This window comes from Homo sapiens, chromosome 14 (assembly GCF_000001405.40).
Source record: "Homo sapiens chromosome 14, GRCh38.p14 Primary Assembly".
In the NCBI taxonomy this organism is placed as follows: Eukaryota; Metazoa; Chordata; class Mammalia; order Primates; family Hominidae; genus Homo; species Homo sapiens.
Window position 1 is genome coordinate 93,571,170 of NC_000014.9, and position 21,020 is coordinate 93,592,189.

The 21,020-nt window shown below is 41.7% G+C and overlaps 1 protein-coding gene across 33 annotated transcripts in view; it reads left to right on the plus strand.

Annotated features, from left to right (window-relative positions):
- The window catches only part of UNC79 (unc-79 subunit of NALCN channel complex), a 374,695-nt gene that overhangs the window by 237,988 nt on the left and 115,687 nt on the right, over positions 1-21,020 (plus strand). For 31 of the 33 annotated variants that reach the window (XM_011537027.3, NM_020818.5, XM_011537026.3 and 28 more), the window contains 8 exons: positions 725-915; positions 1,524-1,647; positions 3,889-4,029; positions 6,673-6,894; positions 8,980-9,207; positions 11,034-11,175; positions 15,427-15,506; positions 15,591-15,739. In XM_011537027.3, coding sequence (XP_011535329.1) covers positions 725-915; positions 1,524-1,647; positions 3,889-4,029; positions 6,673-6,894; positions 8,980-9,207; positions 11,034-11,175; positions 15,427-15,506; positions 15,591-15,739 — 1,277 coding nt within the window. Of the gene's footprint in view, positions 1-724; positions 916-1,523; positions 1,648-3,888; positions 4,030-5,015; positions 5,089-6,672; positions 6,895-8,979; positions 9,208-11,033; positions 11,176-15,426; positions 15,507-15,590; positions 15,740-21,020 lie in introns of those variants that run through there. The other 2 variants (XM_011537024.3, XM_017021520.2) reach the window with 2 other exon arrangements.

Genomic DNA, 21,020 nt, shown 5'->3' on the forward strand with positions numbered 1-21,020 from the left:
ACATCTTGTGTTATTTAGTAAAGACTCAGGACCAGTTTAACCTTTGTTACGTTGATACTTAGAATATACGATCTCTAACATCAGGATTATAAACAACCTAAGTTTGTAAATTCGTGATTTTAACTTTTTCCTGCTCTTAAAAATTGATATACTATCTTAATTAGTTTAAAAAGCCAGTCCTTTTTATTCACAGATTCAACTACCTTTAGAACATTCTTAGGAAAAAAATTGTGGCAGGGTACGCAGCATAGGGTAAAAAGAGCACTGTGTACTACCGTATTTCCTGTAATGAAAAATCTGCAATACAAAGCATGCAGTAGTAGAAAACCGTGTTCCTCTGAAGCACAGGTATAACGTGCATGTTGTAATGGATTTATCAGACTTGAGGAATAAGAATGCTCTAATAGTATGCTCATCCTGTTGGGAATAAATCTTTGGAATTTTAATTCACATGTGATTTGGAAAATCAACAGTAGCATCATTAAAAATTCCATCTGTAATCAATATTTGAGCCTATTCGTAACTATGTTTTCCTTTCTGTAACTGATGGATCCTGGTGGTTTGCCGTCTTACGAATCAATCTCACACTGAAGATTCTTGGCCTAGGACTCAGACATGATGGATTGTGGCCTTTCTCTGTACCCATTGCCTTAGGAAGTCCTTGAGTATAATTGTAACCAGTGTGTTTCATTCTTTTCCCCTGTGGCTATGGAAACCTCTTCAGGTTGGTGGCTACTGGGATAAGTCCTGTAGCACAGTGACTCAGCTGAAGGAAGGTCTCAACCGAATCCTCTGCCTGATCCCCTATAATGTGATCAATCAATCTGTCTGGGAGTGTATTATGCCGGAATGGCTGGAAGCCATCAGAACAGAAGTCCCAGATAATCAGTTAAAAGAATTCAGGGAAGTATTAAGGTGGGTAAGTAGTTTAATGAAGTCACTGTAATTATAATCATATCTAACGTTTGGTGAGCATGTACTGTATGCCGGTCACCCTACTAAGCGTTTTATATAATCTCATTTATTTTTTAACCACCCTGTGGAGAAACTTGAAGCCCCAACATGAAATAGCTGCAATACCTCAACCTAAGATGATTTGGCATTGTCCAGAAAAGATTTTGTTCTTGTGGAATAGTAAATAGATAAAAACAGATGTTTACTTATTTTGAAATTTTCAAATATAATTATAATTGGTGGGATGTGGTGGAAAAGTGCAAAGGGAAACTGTTTTAGATGCTAGGGAGCAATGCTAATGCCTTAGAAATGCAATTCCTTCTGTTAAACCTAATATGAGGAAGAACAGTAATGTTATTAACAACCATATGAATTATTTATAAGATCTCTATTTCAATGACATAAACTTCTCTTACAGTAAAGTGAAATATGCTGATAACAGTTCAGAATACAAACTAATCTAAAAGGCTTGGCTCTCCAAATAGGGAATAGTTAGAAAGACGGTGGTGGTATTAGTAGAACCCAATCTATGCCCATTGGTCATTTACTTTTGTTGCTCTGCTTTCCAGCAAAATGTTTGACATTGAACTCTGTCCTCTGCCTTTCTCAATGGAGGAGATGTTTGGTTTTATTAGTTGTCGGTTTACAGGATACCCCTCCTCTGTGCAGGAGCAAGCTTTACTGTGGCTTCATGTAAGTGAATAATACTTTCGATCATTTTAGGAAATAGTTCTTAGCTTATAAGCTTTAGATCCCTGGATCGAGAGAGTGGGAGTTATAGCAAAGACTTCGTAAGTCCCCATGTTTGCCAAGAAAGTGTATCTCCTATGCATAGATAAATGAGTAAATTTCAAATATATGTTGCTCTAGTTGTGGTTAATAACATATAAATATATAAATTGTGCAATAATATTACTGAATTCTTAGTAGCTTTAGGTCCTTTTGTATTTTTCCATCAATAGCTATTAAAAGTACAATAGCTGTCTTGTGGGATTCTGATAAATCTTTGATATTAAACAGGTCCTTTACTTGGAAAGATGGGGAAGGATTTAGTGAGTAGTTCATGCTGTTCCCTCAGCCTGGAATGACTTCCTTTCCTGTCTCTATTTGTGAACTCCAACCTATCTTTTAAAGTCCATCTCAAAAATTATCCCCTATGTGAACTTTCCTGCTACTTCAAACCCTCATCTTCCCAGGTTCTCTGTGTGAATTTGGTTCTATTTCTGTCTCACAGTTTTTGTCTGTCTCGCCACCTGATTTCAAGCTCTTGAGTACAGGGGCCAGGTCTTACTCATTTCTGTATTTATAACCCTCTTCATCCTCTCCTCCTAGAATATGGCACACGCTTGTATTTAAAAGTGGATGTTCAATTAAAGTTTATTAAATTAACTTGAATACCTGATATGAGTTTGGGCAGTTTTAGAAAATGAGGACAGAATCAATGTTTAGATTAACTACAGATACAGGTACATTTCTGTGTCATGCAAGGATAGGATCCCATAAGCTCTTCAAGTTGTAAAGACACCTTTTCGAAACTAAAGAGCAATATTCTTCGCATTTGACAAAGAGTAAAGGGACCATTTTTTAAAAAGTCAAAATTTGGACCAGCTCGGTAGCTCACACCTGTAATCCCAGAACTTTGGGAGGCAAAGGTGGGCAGATCACTTGCTCAGGAGTTCAAGACCAGCCTGGCCAACATGGCCAAAGCCCGTCTCTACAAAAAATACAAAAATTAGCTGGTCGTGGTGACGCACGCCTGTAGTCCCAGCTACTTGGGAGGCCGAGCCGGGAGAATCTCTTGAGCCCAGGAGATCGAGGCTGCAGTGAGCTATGATCAAGCCACTGCACTCTAGCCTGGGCAATAGAGTGAGACCCTGTCTCAAAAAACAAACAAACAAACAAACAGTCAACTTTGGGATTTAGAATTTAAACCATTTATTCCCAAATGGATTTCAGTAAGGTAATTCTCCTTTTAAGAAAGCCAGTCTTCCTACAGATGGCTGGATGTTGCCTCAGTTACCCCGTTGCACAGCCCTTACACTGTGCTCTTTGGGGATAAGCCCATACAGCTTTGTCCCCCCCTATAGCTACAGTGGCAACATTTACACGTTTTATGAACTGGGCTTTCATCCAGCCTTGGTTTATAAGACAGAGTGCTGCAGCTGAAGAAGGTTTTCCAGCCTTGGTCTATTTGGAGGATAGAGTGGACACTAAAGTGGTTAGAGTTGACTCATTTATAATTAATTCTGGAAGCACGTACAAGAGCTCCCATGTGCCAGGCACTGAAATAGGCACTGGAATAAAAAATGGGACCGGAAATAGTCCTTTCTGCGTACTTCCTTTCTTTAAGCAGCTCACAGTGGGAGGGATAGGATTAGATAATTAAACAGAAGAAAAAGTAATAATTGCTCTAATAAAGATATGTATAAAGGTTAAGAAAGCAGAAAACAGGGATGGATTAATTCTGTCTGAAGGAAGAAGGCATTTTTTTCCAGAAAATTAATGACAGAGAAAGTGACTTGATTTGGGCCCAGATTGACATGAAGTTGTACCAGACAGCAGGATCGGATGGGTCATTGAGATCAGAGTGGGGATGGACTGGAGAAGCAGTGCTAGTCCAGGAGAAAGGTGGGGATCTAAGGCACTAGTGGTGGGTATGGAGAGTGGGGGACAGCATCAAAAGAAACTGAGAAGTGTTAATAGAAAGAACATGGTGACCTATTGGATGCTGGGGGTGAGGAAAGGAGAAAGTTCAGTGATAACTTTGATTTTCTTAGTATGAAAATTGGAGGATGACTGTGTTGATAGAATACGTGTAAGGCTAATTATCCTTATGTTCAATAATTTGCTTTGGAAAAAGAAGGTTAAATATAGCTTTTTTGAGTTTTAAAATTTACATGTGTTTTTTGGGGGATATATGCCTTTTTTCCCTAGGTATTATCGGAGTTAGATATCATGGTTCCACTTCAACTACTAATAAGTATGTTTTCTGATGGAGTTAATTCAGTCAAAGAGCTGGCAAATCAAAGAAAATCAAGAGTCAGTGAACTGGCAGGGAACCTTGCATCTCGAAGGGTAATTATTGCCACATTTGTTCTTGTCTTGCTTTTAAAAATCTTGAAAACCCTTGTCAGTTATCCTACGCCTGAAAGTACTGTCATAAGAAACCAAAAATGTGTTTTCAGCCCATCTCGCTGTGTTCATCTTTTAAGTGCATTAAATAGTCACATTTGTTTGGTATAGTTTATAATCAGTAAGTTATTGAGTTTTCATTTTATTTTTAATTTCTTTGAATTTTAGCTTTCTCCCTTGATGAAAAAGAGTAGCTTTTTGGTAACATTCCATTTTTATGAGTCTCCTGGTGAATAAGAATTTTTTACCATCTCCTAGGCAGATCAGTGCTTCACTTTGGGGGTGAGGAGTCTGGGAGGAGTTTGGATGATTGTTTTTTTTTCCTTGTCTTTTGGGAAGATATGATCAACTACTGGTGACTGTGAGGGATGCTGTCACTGTGAACCAACTGAGCCCATTTTATTGACCCCTTTGCATCATTGTAGATGAGAAAAGTCAAGATAGTCTGGTCTAAAGTGTATACAAACTGCTGGACAGCTTTGGTTATTTTTCTATGGAGGCCTGATAGAGTCTCTGCTGATGTGCTGCTGTTCTCAGGCCGTGAGCAGCTGTGGAAAGGTTGACTCTTATTGGATGGTTGGCAGAAAATGTCCTCCACTCTTTCCTTGTCAAGCCTCTCTACAAAATTTCCCCCACTGTATGCCACAGGCCTCCAGCCATCCCACCTGACATCTAGGGATTAAAACATGGAACATGATTATGGGTTTGCATTCAGTGTTTTAAAGAATATCCTTACTTATTTTGTCATCTTCCTGATAGGAGCCAGCTGCTAACCATCTGTACTTTCTTTCTTTCTTCTGTAACCTTTAAGATGACATTCCTTTGTGTAGCACTTTATTCTGTGCAATGTGTTCACAGCAAACAATATCACAGAATTGTGTGAGGCAGCCAGGGAAGAACTCATTATCTTCATTTTACAACTACCTAACCTGATGTTCAGTGAAGTGAAGTGATTTCCTACAGAAACACCGTGAATACCTGGGTATTCTGATTCTTAATGGGGTAATCTTCCTTTTTACCTTAAAAATGGTGTTTGAAGAGCTTTGTGGTTACCACAAAGATTTTTAAGACAGAAAAATACCTAGGTGATAGGTTCAATCATACCCCAAACCTCAGCATCATGCAATATAACTTTGTAACAAACCTGCACATGTGTTCCCCCGATTCTAAAATAAAAATTGAAAAAGAAAAAAAAGAGAGAGAAATATGATTTGAGAGTGAAGTACAGATGTGTTAGTCAGGGTCCTGATTCAGAATTTATCCCAGATAGTTTAAATGACAGACTTTAATGGAGATTCTTCCTATAGTATTATGGGAAAGCTTAAAGGAGCTAAAGGAGCAATATGGGTGGACAAGACACCTAGAGTCCAGGTACAGTCCAGTAGAAAGTCCTTACACTCCCAGGGCTGAAGGAACAAGGGAAAGAGTTCCTGGGGCACCAAACGGGAGCTGAAACTGTAAGAAAGGGCTGGTTGGAGAAGTTACGGAGTGCTGGAGATGCTCCCAGAGATGTAGCACCCAAGTGGGCAGGGAGAGGGGAGAAATACTCCTGCCTCTCTCTCCTCCAGGTCTCAGGAATTCTGCTGGTACCTCCCATTGACTGAACCCAGTCAGGCTTGGTGGCTTATGCCTCTAATCCCAGCACTTCAGGAGGCTGAAGTGGGAGGATTGCTTGAGTCCAGGAGTTAGAGACCAGCCTGGGCCACATAATGAGACCTTGTCTCTACAAAAAAATTTTCAAAAACTTAGCTGGGCCTGGTGGAGACCTTGTCTCTACAAAAAAATTTTCAAAAACTTAGCTGGGCCTGGTGGTGCATGCCTTTTGTCCCAGCTACTTGGGAGGCTGAGGTGGGAGGATTGCTTGAGAGTGAGAGGTCAAGCCTGCAGAGAGCCGTGATCATGCCACTGCACTCCAGCTTGGGCAACAGAGCAAGACTGTCCCAAAACAAAACAACAACAAAATAATCCAAAAAAAACCATTGACTTAACCCAACTGGAAGCTAGGCAGCAAAGGAGCCAGAGGAGACTCAGTCCACGACTTCTTGGGCATAGAGTAGGGCCAAGGAGGTAGTAAGAGTCTGAGTGGGGGTTGGGTGGACAAATGGAGAATAACCAGTACAAAAGGTTTGTCATATATTGTTGTCTCATAATAGTTTAATAATTGTAATCCCCAGAGACCATCTTTTAACCAATCAGGTCAACCTGAGATTCTGTGCTTCTGATTCTAAACATTATCTTGCAATATTTTACTTTTGTAAGTTCTCATTTTTCGGGGTACAATTTTCAGTAGACTCAAACAATCCGGTCTAATTGGACATGTTTGATGGGTTGAAAAATGTAATGGCAGATGCCTTCATTCTTCAGGGTGTTGATGTCACTTCCTGACAACTAGGAAGTTTGAGTGGTTTTATTTCTTGTTTTTATATATTGAGAGAATCCTTAGTATTTGGAGGTACTAATGCCATTGGTTAAGGAAAGAAATAAGTGTGACAGCTGGAAATACCTTCCATAGAGTCCCCGAATATTTTACACAGCAATTTGAGCTTCTGTGAGTTCATTTCTATGTGTTGCCATTCTTTCTTGTAGGTGAGTGTTGCCTCTGATCCTGGCCGACGAGTTCAGCACAATATGCTTAGTCCATTTCATAGTCCTTTCCAGAGTCCGTTTCGGAGTCCTTTGCGTAGTCCGTTTCGTAGCCCTTTCAAGAATTTTGGACACCCAGGAGGAAGGACTATTGACTTTGATTGTGAAGATGATGAAATGAATCTAAATTGTTTCATCCTCATGTTTGATCTTCTCCTGAAGCAGGTAGCTGAAGCATGAGCTTCCTTTAGTTCAGAGGTGAAGAATGAGAGAAAGCGTTGTACAGCAATTCTTTCCATGTGTTGGGCATCTCCACACTTATCAAAATGATTCAGCATCACCCAAGACCTTTTGCAAACTCCTTTGGAGATTTTCTAAAAAGTCTGAAAACTACTTATGTGAATATCTGCAGTGATGTTGACATATGAGAATGGATTGAATTTTAGAAACACCCTAGTGTCATTAGAATTGATTCTGTTAAATAAATTGCATTAACAAAAAGGATGATACTATTGTTGGGAAGGGCAAGGTACAACTCTATAGTGATGAAGCTAATTTTAATATATTTTATACATTGATTTTTAAAATTAATTTAAAAAGAGAAGTTAAAAAGGTTTTGATGAGAACATTTCTTTTTAACCTTTTATTTTGAAATAATTTCAGATTTGCAGAAAAGTTACAAGAATACTATAAAGAATTCCCAAATACTCCTCCCCACAATTCTCCAGATGTTAACATTTACCACATCTGCTTCTCTTTCTCTGCATGTGTATGCGTTAATTTTTAATAGATCATTTGAGACTAAATTGCAGACATGATGTCCTTTTATCCCTAAACACTTCAGAGTGTATTTTCTAAAAAAAAGGACATTCTCTTACATAAACACAGTACAGTTATCAAAATCAGGAAATTAATAGTGTTATAGTACTACTACATAACTTGCAGAAATTATTAATTTTGAAAATTGATATAATAATAGTAATGTCATCTTTATAGCAAGAGAAAAAAGCCTGGCTTTGATTAAGGAACAATCTAGAAGCACTCATTGCAATTACAGATACTGTTTCCTTTGTCTTCTTTAATCTAGGACAGTTCCTCAGTCTTTATCTTTCATGTCCTTGACTTTTTTTTAAAATTATTTTTAATTTTTGTGGGTACCTCGTAGGTGTCTATACTTATGGGGCCTTGACATTTTTGAAGAGTATAGTCCAGTTATTTTGTGGACTGTCCCTCAATTTGAGTTTGCCTGATGCTTCCTTATGAATTAATTTGGGTCATGCATTTTTTTGGCAGGAAGACCACAGATGTGATGTTATGTCCTTTGTAATGCATCATGTCAGCAGGCGTAAGATATAATAATGTCCCATTACTGTGATGATAACTTTGGTCACCTTAACCAAGAGACCAAAATCTGCCACATTTTTCTGTGATAAAGTCACTATTTTCCCTTTTGTAACTAATAAGTAATTTGTAACTACCTTATGGATTTCCTGTTTATGATCAGGCTTTCATCCACTAGTGTTAGCATCAATGGATGACTCATCAATTATTACTATCATGACAGTCGAGTGATAATTTTCCAATTCCATCATTTCTTCTAAATGTATTCACTGGTATTCTACTGATGGAATACTTTCTCCTTCTTTCCCATTTATGTGTTTATTTATTTATCTACTCATCCCGCAGTGCCCATGGATTTTTATGTTATTTGGTGGGTTATAATCTGTTACTATGATTCTGTATTTTGATGCTCGTATTGTTCCGCATTTGGCCAGTGGGAATCTTTTCAAGCTGGCTCCTGTGTTCTTTTGGCACATCCACATCATTCTATGAACTCTTCCTTGATTTCTGGTGTGACAAGATGTTCCAGGCTCATCTTATATTTTCCTAGCCCCAGCCCTGGAATTCAGCCATTTCTCCAAGGAGCCCTGGTTCCTTTTAGCAGCTCATGGTATTTAGAAACCAAGATCTGGACTCTAGGTGAGGAGCAGCATTTTTTAAATGTGTAAAATCTCACAAACCGATTAGCCAAAAGCAACAACTCTCTTTTAAATCTCCTACATGATTTTTAAAATAATTCCAATTGCTTCATCTTGTGTTTATATTCCTTCTAGAAAAACCCACGGACAGCAATGTATATTCATGGTCTTGAAGCCTATATTGTCTTTAAATAATTCAATATTTCTGTCAGTTAGTGAAAATCATCCCCAAGTAGTGTGCCAATGGAATATTGGACAAATGGACCAAACTCCTTCTTCTTCTTTTTTTTTTGTGTGTGTGTGCGTGTGTCCTTTTTTTGATGTCTTTCAGATGGAGTTACAAGATGATGGAATCACGATGGGTTTAGAGCACAGCTTATCAAAGGACATTATTTCTATTATAAACAATGTCTTCCAAGCCCCCTGGGGGGGATCCCACACCTGCCAGAAGGACGAAAAAGCAATCGAGTGCAACTTATGTCAGTCTAGTATCCTCTGCTATCAGCTTGCTTGTGAACTCCTGGAGAGACTAGCTCCTAAAGAAGAAAGCCGGCTGGTGGTAAGCAGTTGAAGAAACGAGATGACCCATGTATAATAGCATTAAAGACTGCAGTAGCTGATGTAATGGAGTCTTCCTCCAGCAGCATCTTATACTCCATGCTGGGTTATACGTGAGACTGTGTTAAAAGAAACTTTTCCCATTGCTTCTGCCAACTCAGGCTCTTGGAAAGGGATACAAACTGAAGCCACGCTATACGGAATTCTATTAAGTGGCTTGAGTGAGGGTTGTAGCACCTCCATTCATATGGTTCCATGCATTAGTAGTATTCTTAAAAGAACTTTTATCACAAAGTTATATTACAAAGTTTAAGTGACAATGGATACTGTAAAATGTATTTTTTTTTTGAGACGGTGCCTTACTCTGTCTCCTATGCTGGAGTGCAGTAGCTTGATCATGGCTCACTGAAACCTCTGCCTCCCAGGCTCAGGTGATTCTCCCACTTCAGCCTCCCAAGAAGCTGGGACTACAGGTGCCCACCACCATGCCTGGCTAATTTTTAAATTATTTTTTGTGGAGACGGGGTTTTGCCATGTTGCCCAGGCTGGTCTTGAACTCCTGAGCTCAAGTGGTCTACCCTCCTCAACCTCCCAAAGTGCTGGGATTACAGGCATGAGCCACCATGCCTGGCCAAATGTATGCATTTTTAAATTGTTTCTCCATCTAGCTGTTGACAGACACTTGGGTTGCCATACCTTGCTGTCTGTAACTCACATGTTATAGCAGTTTTTCACTCCTAAAAATTTGACTACCCTGGACAACCAGTATTTGTGTCTTTAAATTTTTTTAAAAAAATTATTTATTATTATTATTGTTATTTTTAGAGATAGGGTCTTGCTCTGTCACCCAGGAGGGCAGTGGTGTGATCATGAATAGCTGCAGCCTTGAACTCCTGGACTTAAGAATCCTCCTACCTCAGCCTCCTCGGTAACTGGACACAGGCATGCCACCATGCCTGGATAATTTTAAACATTCTTTTAGAGATGAGGTCTCACTATGTTGCCCAGGCTGGTCTCAAATCCTGCCCTCAAGTGATCCTCCTTGCCTCACCCTCCCAAAGCACTGGGATTACAGGCATGAACCACCACACCTGGCCAGTATTTGCATCTTTTTTTTTTTTTTTTTTTTTTTTTTTGAGACAGAGTCTCACTCTGTCGCCCAGGCTGGAGTACTGTGGTATGATCTCGGCTCACTGCAACCTCTGCCTCCCAGGTTCAAGCGATTCTCCTGCCTCAGCCTCCCTAGCAGCTGGGATTACAGGCATGTGCCACCACGCCCAGCTAATTTTTGTATTTTTAGTAGAGACGGGGTTTCACCATGTTGGTCAGGCTGGTCTCGAATTCCCGACCTCGTGATCCGCCCACCTCGGCCTCCCAAAGTGCTGGGATTATAGGCATGAGCCACCATGCCCGGCCATTTGCATCTTAATATAGCTTTGTGAACCCGTTATTATTCCTTCCTAATCAAGTCCTGTTATTGAATAAAATGTACATGGGTGAGAATGACTTGATGAGTGGGACACTGATCTTGGAGACTAATGCAGAGGTGAGAAAGCAGGCCTAGGAAGATTTAATGATGTTTTTGATCTTCTTCTATATATATTTGAAGTGAAAGAAAATGTTTCAGCAATAGCGGATAGAGATTTCTTTTCACTGTTCCAGCAATAAGCTCCAGGGTCTTCTGGGGTGTGGTGCCTTGGCCTCTGGCCTCAGCAGCATGGGACCCGAGACACAGCAGGTGTGCAGTCCAGCTTTGCTGAGCTGAGCAAACCGTTCCTGACACCCCTCCAGGGCTGCTTACCTGGCTGCCTGTCCTGTTTATTTCAGGAGCCCACAGACAGCCTGGAGGATAGCCTCCTTTCTTCCAGACCAGAGTTTATCATAGGCCCTGAAGGGGAGGAGGAGGAGAATCCTGCAAGCAAGCATGGGGAGAACCCAGGCAACTGCACCGAGCCCGTGGAACATGCTGGTAGGTGTGCACTGACTGCCGGGGAATGCGCCACGTGCACATGGCCTGATGCTCAAATCACCGGGTTCTTGGTTTAATATCGACTTGGGCAAATTCAGACGTGGTTTCCTTAGTATAGACTCGTGCAGAGGAACATCTCCCAGCGGATTATAAAATGAACAGATCCGTTACAGTTCCCATAGAACCCAGTTCCCTGAGCATCTTTCTGGCAGCGGGCACCGGTTTTCAATAAAAACTCATCGCCTCCCTACTTACAATGCGAGGTATTCTCTGTGGACCAAGGCTGGGTGCTGACAATCTTGACAGCCACTCAGGGCATTTGGCTAAAGCAGAGTGTTTCTGAATAGAAGCAGTGGGGCTCTGGCGGTTGGGCTGTGCAGGCTGAGCTCGAAGGCTACTTTGCTGGCTCTTAGCTGGGACTGGGGAGCAGCCACTTTTTCATTTGTCTCAAAGCTCTTGGGTGGACGCAATGGGGGCAGTGAGATGGCAGATAGGCTCAGGAATCGTACTCTAGCTCCTCTCACATGAGGACGTTTAGGGATTTCAGGATGTGACCCCACGTGCCTCTGGGAAAGCCTGATTTCTAGCTCTGGGTGGTGGCACTCTGGGGATCTATATGAGACCTGGGGCAAATTTGGGCAGCTTTTCAATCTTCCTGCATCCATGATCCGGAAGAGTTAGAATAGCTTGCTCCTGGTCAGGCGCGGTGGCTCATACCTGTAATCCCAGTACTTTGGGAGGCCAAGGTGGGCGGATCACCTGAGGTCGGGAGTTCAAGACCAGCCTGGCCAACTTGGAGAAACCCTGTCTCTACTAAAAATACAAAATTAGCCAAGTGTGGTGGCTCATGCCTGTAATCCCAGCTACTAGGGAGATTGAGGCAGGAGAATCGCTTGAACTGGGCAGGCAGAGGTGGTGAGCCGAGATCGCACCATTGCACTCCAGCCTGGGCAACAAGAGTGAAACTCTGCTCAAAAAAAAAAAAAATAATAAATAAATAAAGAATAGCTTGCTCCTGGGAGCCCACTCCAGTATCAGGAGGCATGGGCTTGGCATCATTTCTTCAGTGAGCAGCAGATATTATTAGGGGACTGTTTTCTGGGGTTCATTGCAACTGTGGAGGTGTCTTATTCAAACGAAGGTAACCCTACTAAATCTTCGGTCAGAACTAACTGCTTCTCCATGGATCATATGAACAGTGAATTGTGTATGAATATCTCAGCTCACACTATTTCATGTCATAAACTTTAGAATTTGAAGGAATACCTGAGGTGAGCTGGTTCACTGGTTTTCGGTGTGCACTTCTTGAAGCTGTAAGGGCTCAGTGTGATTTCTTTTGGAACATCCTCAATTGGGGCAACCCCTGGGGGGAAGAGGAGGGCAAAATATAAAGACCCAGGCTCCCCACCTTGCTTCTGCCAGATTGCTCCAACTTACTCTCTTTCATATGTTGGAGGTCTTTTTTTTTTTTTTTTTTTAAGATAAGGGTCCTGCTCTGTCATCCAGGCTGGAGTGCAGGAGCCCGATCACGGCTCACTCCAGCCTTGACCACCTGGGCTCAAGCAGTCCTCCCACCTCAGCCTCCAGAGTAGCTGGGACCACAGACATGCTCCACCATGCCCGGCTAGTTTTTTAAACTTTTTGTAGAGATGGGTTTTCGCCATGTTGCTCAGGCTGTTCTCGAACTCCTAGACTCAAGTGATCCACCCGTCTCGGCCTCCCAAAGAGCTAGGATTACAGCATGAGCCACCACACCCGGCCATATGTTGGAATTCTAAGATTTTCTGCAAACAGAATATTCTGCAGAAAAGAAGTTTACAATCTGCTGATCCAGTTTAGCCTTTGTACTTGGCAGATGAGGAAAATAAATCCCAGATGGGTTAAACAACTTGCCCCTGGTCATGTCACTCCTACTATTCATTCACAATTTATACTTCATATTTCACATGATTCCAGAGCTGTAACGGAACATCGGAATCCCTGAGAAGCAGAAACACAAACAAAAGCTCCACTCCCCAGCTTCAAGTCTGGGTATCCCTGGGATGGGGACCTGGGAATGGGAAACAACTAATTAGTGGCAGGGTTGGGACTAGAACCCAGGTCTTCTACTTTAATTTAGGATTAATTAACTTGTTGTAGGTGCTGCAGCAGCCAGGGCCCAGGCCTACAGTTGTGTTTCTGTCAGGCATTCATGCCTATGGGAAGCTGGGACTTCACTCATGATCCAATAGCCTGTACTCTTTCTATGCAAATATATTTTTTAAACCTAAGCTAGCACACAGATCAATTAACTGCTGCTTTTATCTCTGCGTAATATTTTATTGGAGCAATGGTTAAAATTAAGCAATTTCTTTTTTCTTTTCTTTTTTTGAGACAGGGTCTTACTGTGTTGCCCAGGCTGGAGTGCAGTGGTGTGATCTCGGCTCACTGCAACCTCCACCTCCCAGGTTCAAGCAATTCTCATTTCTTAGCTTCCTGACTAGCTGGGACTACAGGCACCCACCACCACTCTGGCTAAGTTTTTTTTTTTTTTTAAGAGATGGGGTTTTGCCATGTTAGCTAGGCCGGTCTCGAACTCCTGACCTCAAGTGATCCACCTGCCTCAGCCTCCCAAAGTGCTAGGATTACAGGCGTGAGCCACTGCGCCTGGCCAGCAATTTATTTTTAAATGTTTTTCTTTTCCTTGCTGTATTGTTATACAGTCCACTTATTAAAACACATGCTTTGTTCTCCCCTGCATGCTCCTCCAGGCTCCTGTGGCAGCTTTAGCCTCTTTTCCTGCTCAGACTCTCCGCTGTCTTGCAGGATGCAGTTATAAATTGTCTCTGCAGGAGAGTCCCTCTTCTCTTTCTTCCAAGACCAGGGTTCCCTGCTGTTCAGAGCCTCTCTCCTGCTTCTGCTCTGCAGGCCTTAAGACCAGGGTTCCCTCAGAGCCTCTCTCCTGCTTCTGCTCTGCGGGCCTTCAGGCAGTGATCTGGAGCTCTTCTGTCCTAGAATTCAGGGGTGCTCTGTCGACACGTGTTCAGAGACTTCCCCTCCCTTCTAGTGTGTTTCCCTTTTTCCCATCTTGAGGCCTGGCCCTATTTCTTATCATGGTCAGATATGTCCACCACCAAAAATATATTTAAAACTTTCACATCAAACAAAACAGTCAAGTACTTATGACAAGCATTTAAAATACATTCAGGCGGAAGATTCCCAATGGACTTTTCAGTATCTAGATCAAGAGAATTTGACTGCCGTTGCCTCTGATCCTAGGGATTGCCAAAACGTGTAATGGTGATTTTAACACATTCTGCACTAGTTTCTGCATCTGGTTAACTTGTGAATTCTTTTCTCTAGCATGCCTCATGTATAATACATTGATGCCCCCAGTATGGGGGCAAAAGTTTTAGAGATCCTCCCGAGAGGGTGAAAATAATGAGTAGTTGTTCTCATCTGAATATGTTCAACTGTTTCAAAATCTACCTCTTTTTGTGAGAATCCATGGGATAAACCTCTTCAGTTGCTAGTACAAATTGAACACCTCTCTCTCTCTCTTTTTTTTTTTTTTTTGAGACTGAGTCTTGCTCTATTGCCCAGGCTGGAGTACAGTGGCTCAATATCAGCTCACTGCAACCTCCACCCTCCCAGGTTCAAGTGATTCTCTTGCCGCAGCCCCCAAGTAGCTGTGATTACAGATGCCCACCATCATGCCTGGCTAATTTTTGTATTTTCAGTAGAGATGGGGTTTCACCATGTTGGCCATGCTGGTCTTGAACTCTGACCTCAAGTGATCTACCCGCCTTGGCCTCCCAAAGTGCTGGGATTACAGGCATGAGCCACCGCGCCCATCCAAACACCTCTCTTTAATACCTGCATATCTCCCTTCCAATTAGGAAGGCATAGCTAGCCAGGTTCCAGGTCCCTTCAGGGAGCAGCAGAACTAACAGAACTAGCAGCACTGTGCAATCAATCATGTATTCAGTTGTCTTTGGGTAGGGTTAGCTCCAGGGAGCCAAAGACATCTGAATACATGATGGACTGCGCAGTGGAAAATGGAAACTGAGAATCCTCAATTCAGAAGATTTCCTGCACTTGTATCATAGCAGGGATATATGCTAATGTGGAGAGCAGATAAAAAGTTTTCTCAAACAATTTTGCATATATGTCAATTTTTTACTCTTCTTGGTTTTTATGATCTTGATAAATTGATGAATGATGGGGGAGAGGAAGAGTTAGCCTAATTTTTGTGTAATTATTTCTTCACAGCAGTAAAGAATGATACCGAAAGAAAATTTTGCTACCAACAGCTTCCGGTAACATTGAGACTAATATATACCATTTTCCAGGTATATTTTCTGATGTCTTTGAATACTTGGCTTGGTAGCATTACTGTTTTGGATAACTTAGTAACCATGTGGTTTTTTGTATAGGAAATGGCTAAGTTTGAAGAGCCAGACATTCTTTTTAATATGCTCAATTGCCTGAAGATTCTCTGTCTGCATGGAGAATGTTTATACATTGCCAGAAAAGATCACCCTCAATTTTTAGCCTACATTCAGGACCACATGTTGATTGCAAGGTACGTCTTCCTAATGGTTTGTTTTGATTGTTTATACATTAGGCTTTAGTTGTGAAAATTAAAGTTAGATTAAGATTTACTGGCTTGTTTGGGTTATTTTTTGAGCCAGGACAGCTCGATTGCCTATGATAACTACTTTTATTTTTCTTTTTTAGTCTAATTTAAAAGTACGTTAATACAAGGAATGGTAATTTCCATTTGCCTGATACTGAATAAATAGAAAAGTTAAAGTAAAAATTATTGTATGCCTTTCACTTGTTAGATGGCTTAAGAATATAGAAAATATAGAAAAATGCCAAAAAATACGTTAATATTTACCTAGTATAATTAAGTAAGGACTTACCTACCTTCTTACTTAAAATAGAACTGCTAATAGATGTCTAAATCTCTCCATATACTATCTGATAAGTTATTTTTTAGAGACTGGTGAGACATTTTGAAAATTATAATAAAACGTTACCCTAGATTTACAGCGTTTTTCCTCCTGAAAACCTTAAAATAACTTTTGCAATCTTCCTGGAAATAAATCAGAAACATCCTTATTTTATATGTATGAGAATGAGTCAGTAAAAAAGGAAAAGATTGGTTCAGGTTAACTTGATGACAAACCACATTGAGGCTCTATCTTTCTTTACTCATTTTGTTTATTTATTATTCATTCAACAAATATGAGGGCTTACTGTATACATTCTTGTTCTGGGTACTTAGGGAATTTGCAATCTAGTTTGGAAGGGGGTGAATCCTATATAGAGAAAAGGTGACCATATAATTTAGTATTCAAATTTGTGTACGTTTGAGAGTGAAGAGAGGTGGTCTTCATAATAACCCCAAGAGGATGAATATAAACTCGACAGTCTTGGTTAAACTAAGATTCATGGTCATGTATATGTAAGTCACTGTCAATCCAAGGGAATGTGATAAATGACTGCTTTATACAGCTCAGAGGTGGGAGAGAGCATTTCTGGATGAATGATGAATGATGAAAGGCTCTGGAGACAATACCACTTGAATGGGCATTGAGATAACGATAGAATTTTCATTGGTAGAGATTTGAGATGGGTGGGACATGTTGTAAAACCTGGGAATGTCAGGAGGAAACAGATAGCAGAGTTGGAAAGAAGGGACCAGAAATAAGCAGGGCATACTTGGGGGATACTGAAGCTTTATTTATTTATTTATTTATTTATTTTGCCGGATGGTGTGGATGTAAGGGAGTAATGGAAAATGAGGCTGGAGAAGTAGGTTGGGACCCAAGTATGAAGGGCCTTGAAGATAGGGATTTTATTTAATGATGTTTGGAGATCCATGGAAGACCTTAAAATAGAGTCAGAGGTGTGCTTTACTAGAATGAGTATGGAGAAAAGAGAGATTTTTGGAAAGCACCCAAATTTAAGAGAGTGCTAAGAGCACATTACAAAGCTTACTGAATATAAACACACAATGCAGAACTTTTTTCTGAAAGGTTTGTTAGAAGAGGAAAGGAAACATCAGATACTTAGAGAGAAAAGGGAGTAGACATTAAGGATTTTTAGGATAAAGAAAATCTGAACGGCCAGGTGCGATGGCTCATACCTGTAATCCCAGCACTTTGGGAGGCCGAGGCCGGCGGATCACGAGGTCAGGAGATCGAGACCATCCTGGCTAACACAGTGAAACCCTGTCTTTACTAAAAATACAGAAAAATTAGCTGGGCGTGGTGGTGGGCACCTTTAGTCCCAGCTACTCGGGAGGCTGAAGCAGGAGAATGACGTGAACCCGGGAGGTGGAGCTTGCAGTGAGCCGAGATCGTGCCACTACACTCCAGCCTGGGAGACAGAGGGAGACTCCGTCTCAAAAAAAAAAAAAAAAAAAAAAAAAAGAGAGAGAAAATCCGAACATATTTATGGTCAGTGGGAAAGGGCCAGAGAAAGAAAACAGTTAGTGGGTGCAAGTTCTGGAAGGCAGGAGAGTGTGCGATCAAGAACAAAAGGTAGGGTGGAAAACAGGAAGAATACCCTTTCCTTTGAAAGAAGATAAATTTTGAGGCAAAGAGAAAGTGTTAAGGGGAGTTTATAACGGCTGACTTAAGCCTTAAGAATATTAGGTGTTGATGTCTTCTCCTGAGAGATGATGACAGACATTGTGTTGGGAACTTCAGGAACATGGAAAAGAGTATGGGACAGCCTGCACGAGGAAAGCAGCAGGAAGTAAACAAGAAATAACCAAAGAATCACCAGCTTTAGGGTTCGGCTGAGGTTAGCTAGCACCAGTTTGCAGTGGACCAACTTAGTAGGGGTTTGGGTTTCTTTTTCTCCGGCGCTCAGGGGCTTAGGAGTGGACGAGAGCAAATGGGCAAAGGGTTTACTGGGGACCGGGGACTGGTGATATGGTTATGATGGAAGCTCAGAGGGATGAGGATTCCAGAGTGATGAAACGGTTGTCTCTGGGATCCATTCTACGATTGAAAGCAGATGAAGCCAGAAAAATTGATATTTGGGAGAAGAGTATGGAAAAGAGGGCAGAGGAGTCTCAGTCAGTATGGGCTGGGGGATGGGGGGGAAGTTGGGTGTTCTCAGCCTTATAGAGGGGAGGTCAGCATCTCATCCAGCAGAGTAAAGACAGAGGCCACTGGGGATGAGGAGGTGTGAATGAGACCAGGGCTTGATCCACTGATGGCATCTGCAGAGGCCCGCCTGAGGAGCAAGACTGAACTAGGTGCCTAATGGACCAAAGAATTGGGAGAGGACCCTGTGCATCAATGTCATGGGTTTCAAAAGAAAGAGGCTGCTAAGAGGAGGCCTGGAGGAAGTCTTGGGAAGCAAGGGTCATTTGGCCTGGTGAAGATGGGAGTCCAGACTCATTGAGACTCTAGACTCTCAAGAGAAAATCTTAAGGCCAGGCACAGTGGCTCATCCCTGTAATTCCAGCATGTCGGAAAATAGAGGTGGGAGGATCACTTAAGGCCAGGAGTTTTAGACCAGCTTGGGCAACATAGCAAGACCCCATCTCTGCTAAAACAAAATATTAGCCAAGTATGGTGGTGCAAGCCTTTAGTCCCAGCTACTGAGAGGCTGAGGTGGGAGGATTGCTTGATTTGAGGAGACTTTCTTCCATCTCTCCTGGGTTCTCATGGCTGCTGGCAATTGTTGGAATGTCTTGGCTATAGCTGCCTCACTCCAATCTTTGCCACATGGTCTTCTTCCCTGTGTGTCCCTGAGTGCCCCTTCCTCTTATTAGGGCACTAGTCATTCATTATATTTAGGACCCGCTCTATCCAGTAGGAACTCATCTTAACTGATGAAATCTAAATAAGGCCCCATCTTGAGGTTCTGATTGCACATGAATTTTCGGGGAGCACTCTTCAGCCCACTAGAGAAGCATACCATGAGAAAGGTGGAGGATCTATAGAAGTTTCTTCCCAAGAAAACAGGGATTCTACAGCTGCAGTGGGAGGAAGAAGCTGGGGAAAGGGAAAGGGCAGACATGGCTGACCTGGAGTGGGGAAGAGTAGGAATGACCCGGAGGGAACAGTGTGAAGTTCGAGACCATCAGCAGATCTGGACGAAAGGAGTGAGGGAAAAGGGTCGAGAGTTAGGCAGACGCTCCATGAATTCAACATGGGAATACGAGATGGGCATTATTTTTTATTGTGAAAGCAACCCCCCAGAATGTACACTTGCCAAATGGACTGTTAGTGCCATGGGACTACCCACTCGGCCTTTAGGGTCCATAGCCCAGGCTTTCTCCTTAAAGGGCCAGGTTTTCTCCGCAAAGTGCCACCATGACACAAAAACCATGATGGACAATGAAAGGACTTGTGGAAGAGATGCTCTGCCCCTTTCCAAACAAGTCTGCCCTCGAGAGCTGGGAAAGGCGAATGGGACTGGCCGAATCTTGGGCTTTGTCATGGAAATGGTTTTCTAGCTGGGCTGCCTGGTTTGCATTCTTCAACTACACCGGAAGTTCCATGAAGGCACAAATTATATCTTCTTTTTCCTTTGCACTCTTCCTAGGGCCTATTGTGCTCTGGAAGCATCATCGTCCTTGTAATCATGATGGTGGTAGCAGCTTCAGGTTTCTGCATACCTACTAAGTGCCATGCTCTCTGCACATCTTGTTTAAAGCCCACACTGGGAGGACACAAAGGTTTAGAGAATTTGCACATTGTTACACAGCTTATGAATGGCAGGGTTGGGATGAGGTCCCTGTTTGTCTGACTTCCACTTATTTAGATTAAGCATATGGCATTTAAAAAATCACTCCTTTTCATTCTATAGCTCTAGTATGCCTTCTGAAAAACAGCCAACTGGAGTGGCTCGTACCTCCATATGCTCTCTGTAAAATGGAGATGGCACGTGTCACTCTTCCCTTCTCTTACCGGTGCAGCATGAGCTATGTAAAGTCACAAATACAGGTGATCCTTGAACAATGGGGAGGTACAAATGTGCTGACCCCTGTGCAGTTGAAAATCCTTGTCTAACTTTTCTCTTCCCCAAAACTTAACCTCTAATAGCTTACTGTTGACCAGAAGCCTTATGATAACATAAAGAGCTGATTGACACATATTTTGTATGTTTTATGCATTATTTATTGTATTCTTACAATAAAGTAAGCCAGAGAAAAGAAAATGTTATTGAGAAAATCATAAGGAAAATGCATTTGCAGTACCGTACTGTGTTTATCAATACCGTAAGTTTATGCCATCTGTTTACAAGATGAATTGTCTGTTTGAAATGGTGAGCAGCTGCAGCTGCAGACCTCAAGCTATGGTACATGTCAAGCAATTCAACTTTTCCTAGCAACGTCGTGACTTTTGTCTGCTTTCTGGGAGCACTTCCAGCGTCACTAGTGGCACTTCGTATGGGACCCATGGTGCTATTCATGGTTTACGGTATTGCACTAAACACAATGAAAAAGACGCGAGAACTGCGAGGGATCACTTTTTACTGTGATTTGCAATTTACTGGAGAGAGGAACTGCTCACACAGACAGACAACACTTGAGCTCACCTGAATAGCAACAGGAGATGGCTACAAAATTATTGCTGTAGTACAGTGTGTACCACAGTTGGTTTTATGCAGTTATGATTTCATACTGCGTCTTTACATTTGCTTAACATTCCTCTCCACTGTGAGTGGCGCCACGTATGGTCTGTAAATGTTTGTGTGTGTAAGCTTTCATAAATTTTAACTTTTTATAATAGATTCGTGTATAATTTATGGTAGTAAATGTTAAAATAGACTAGTAACTACATATATTTTATACATTCATTACATAACTTTTCCTTTTTTTTTTTTTTTTT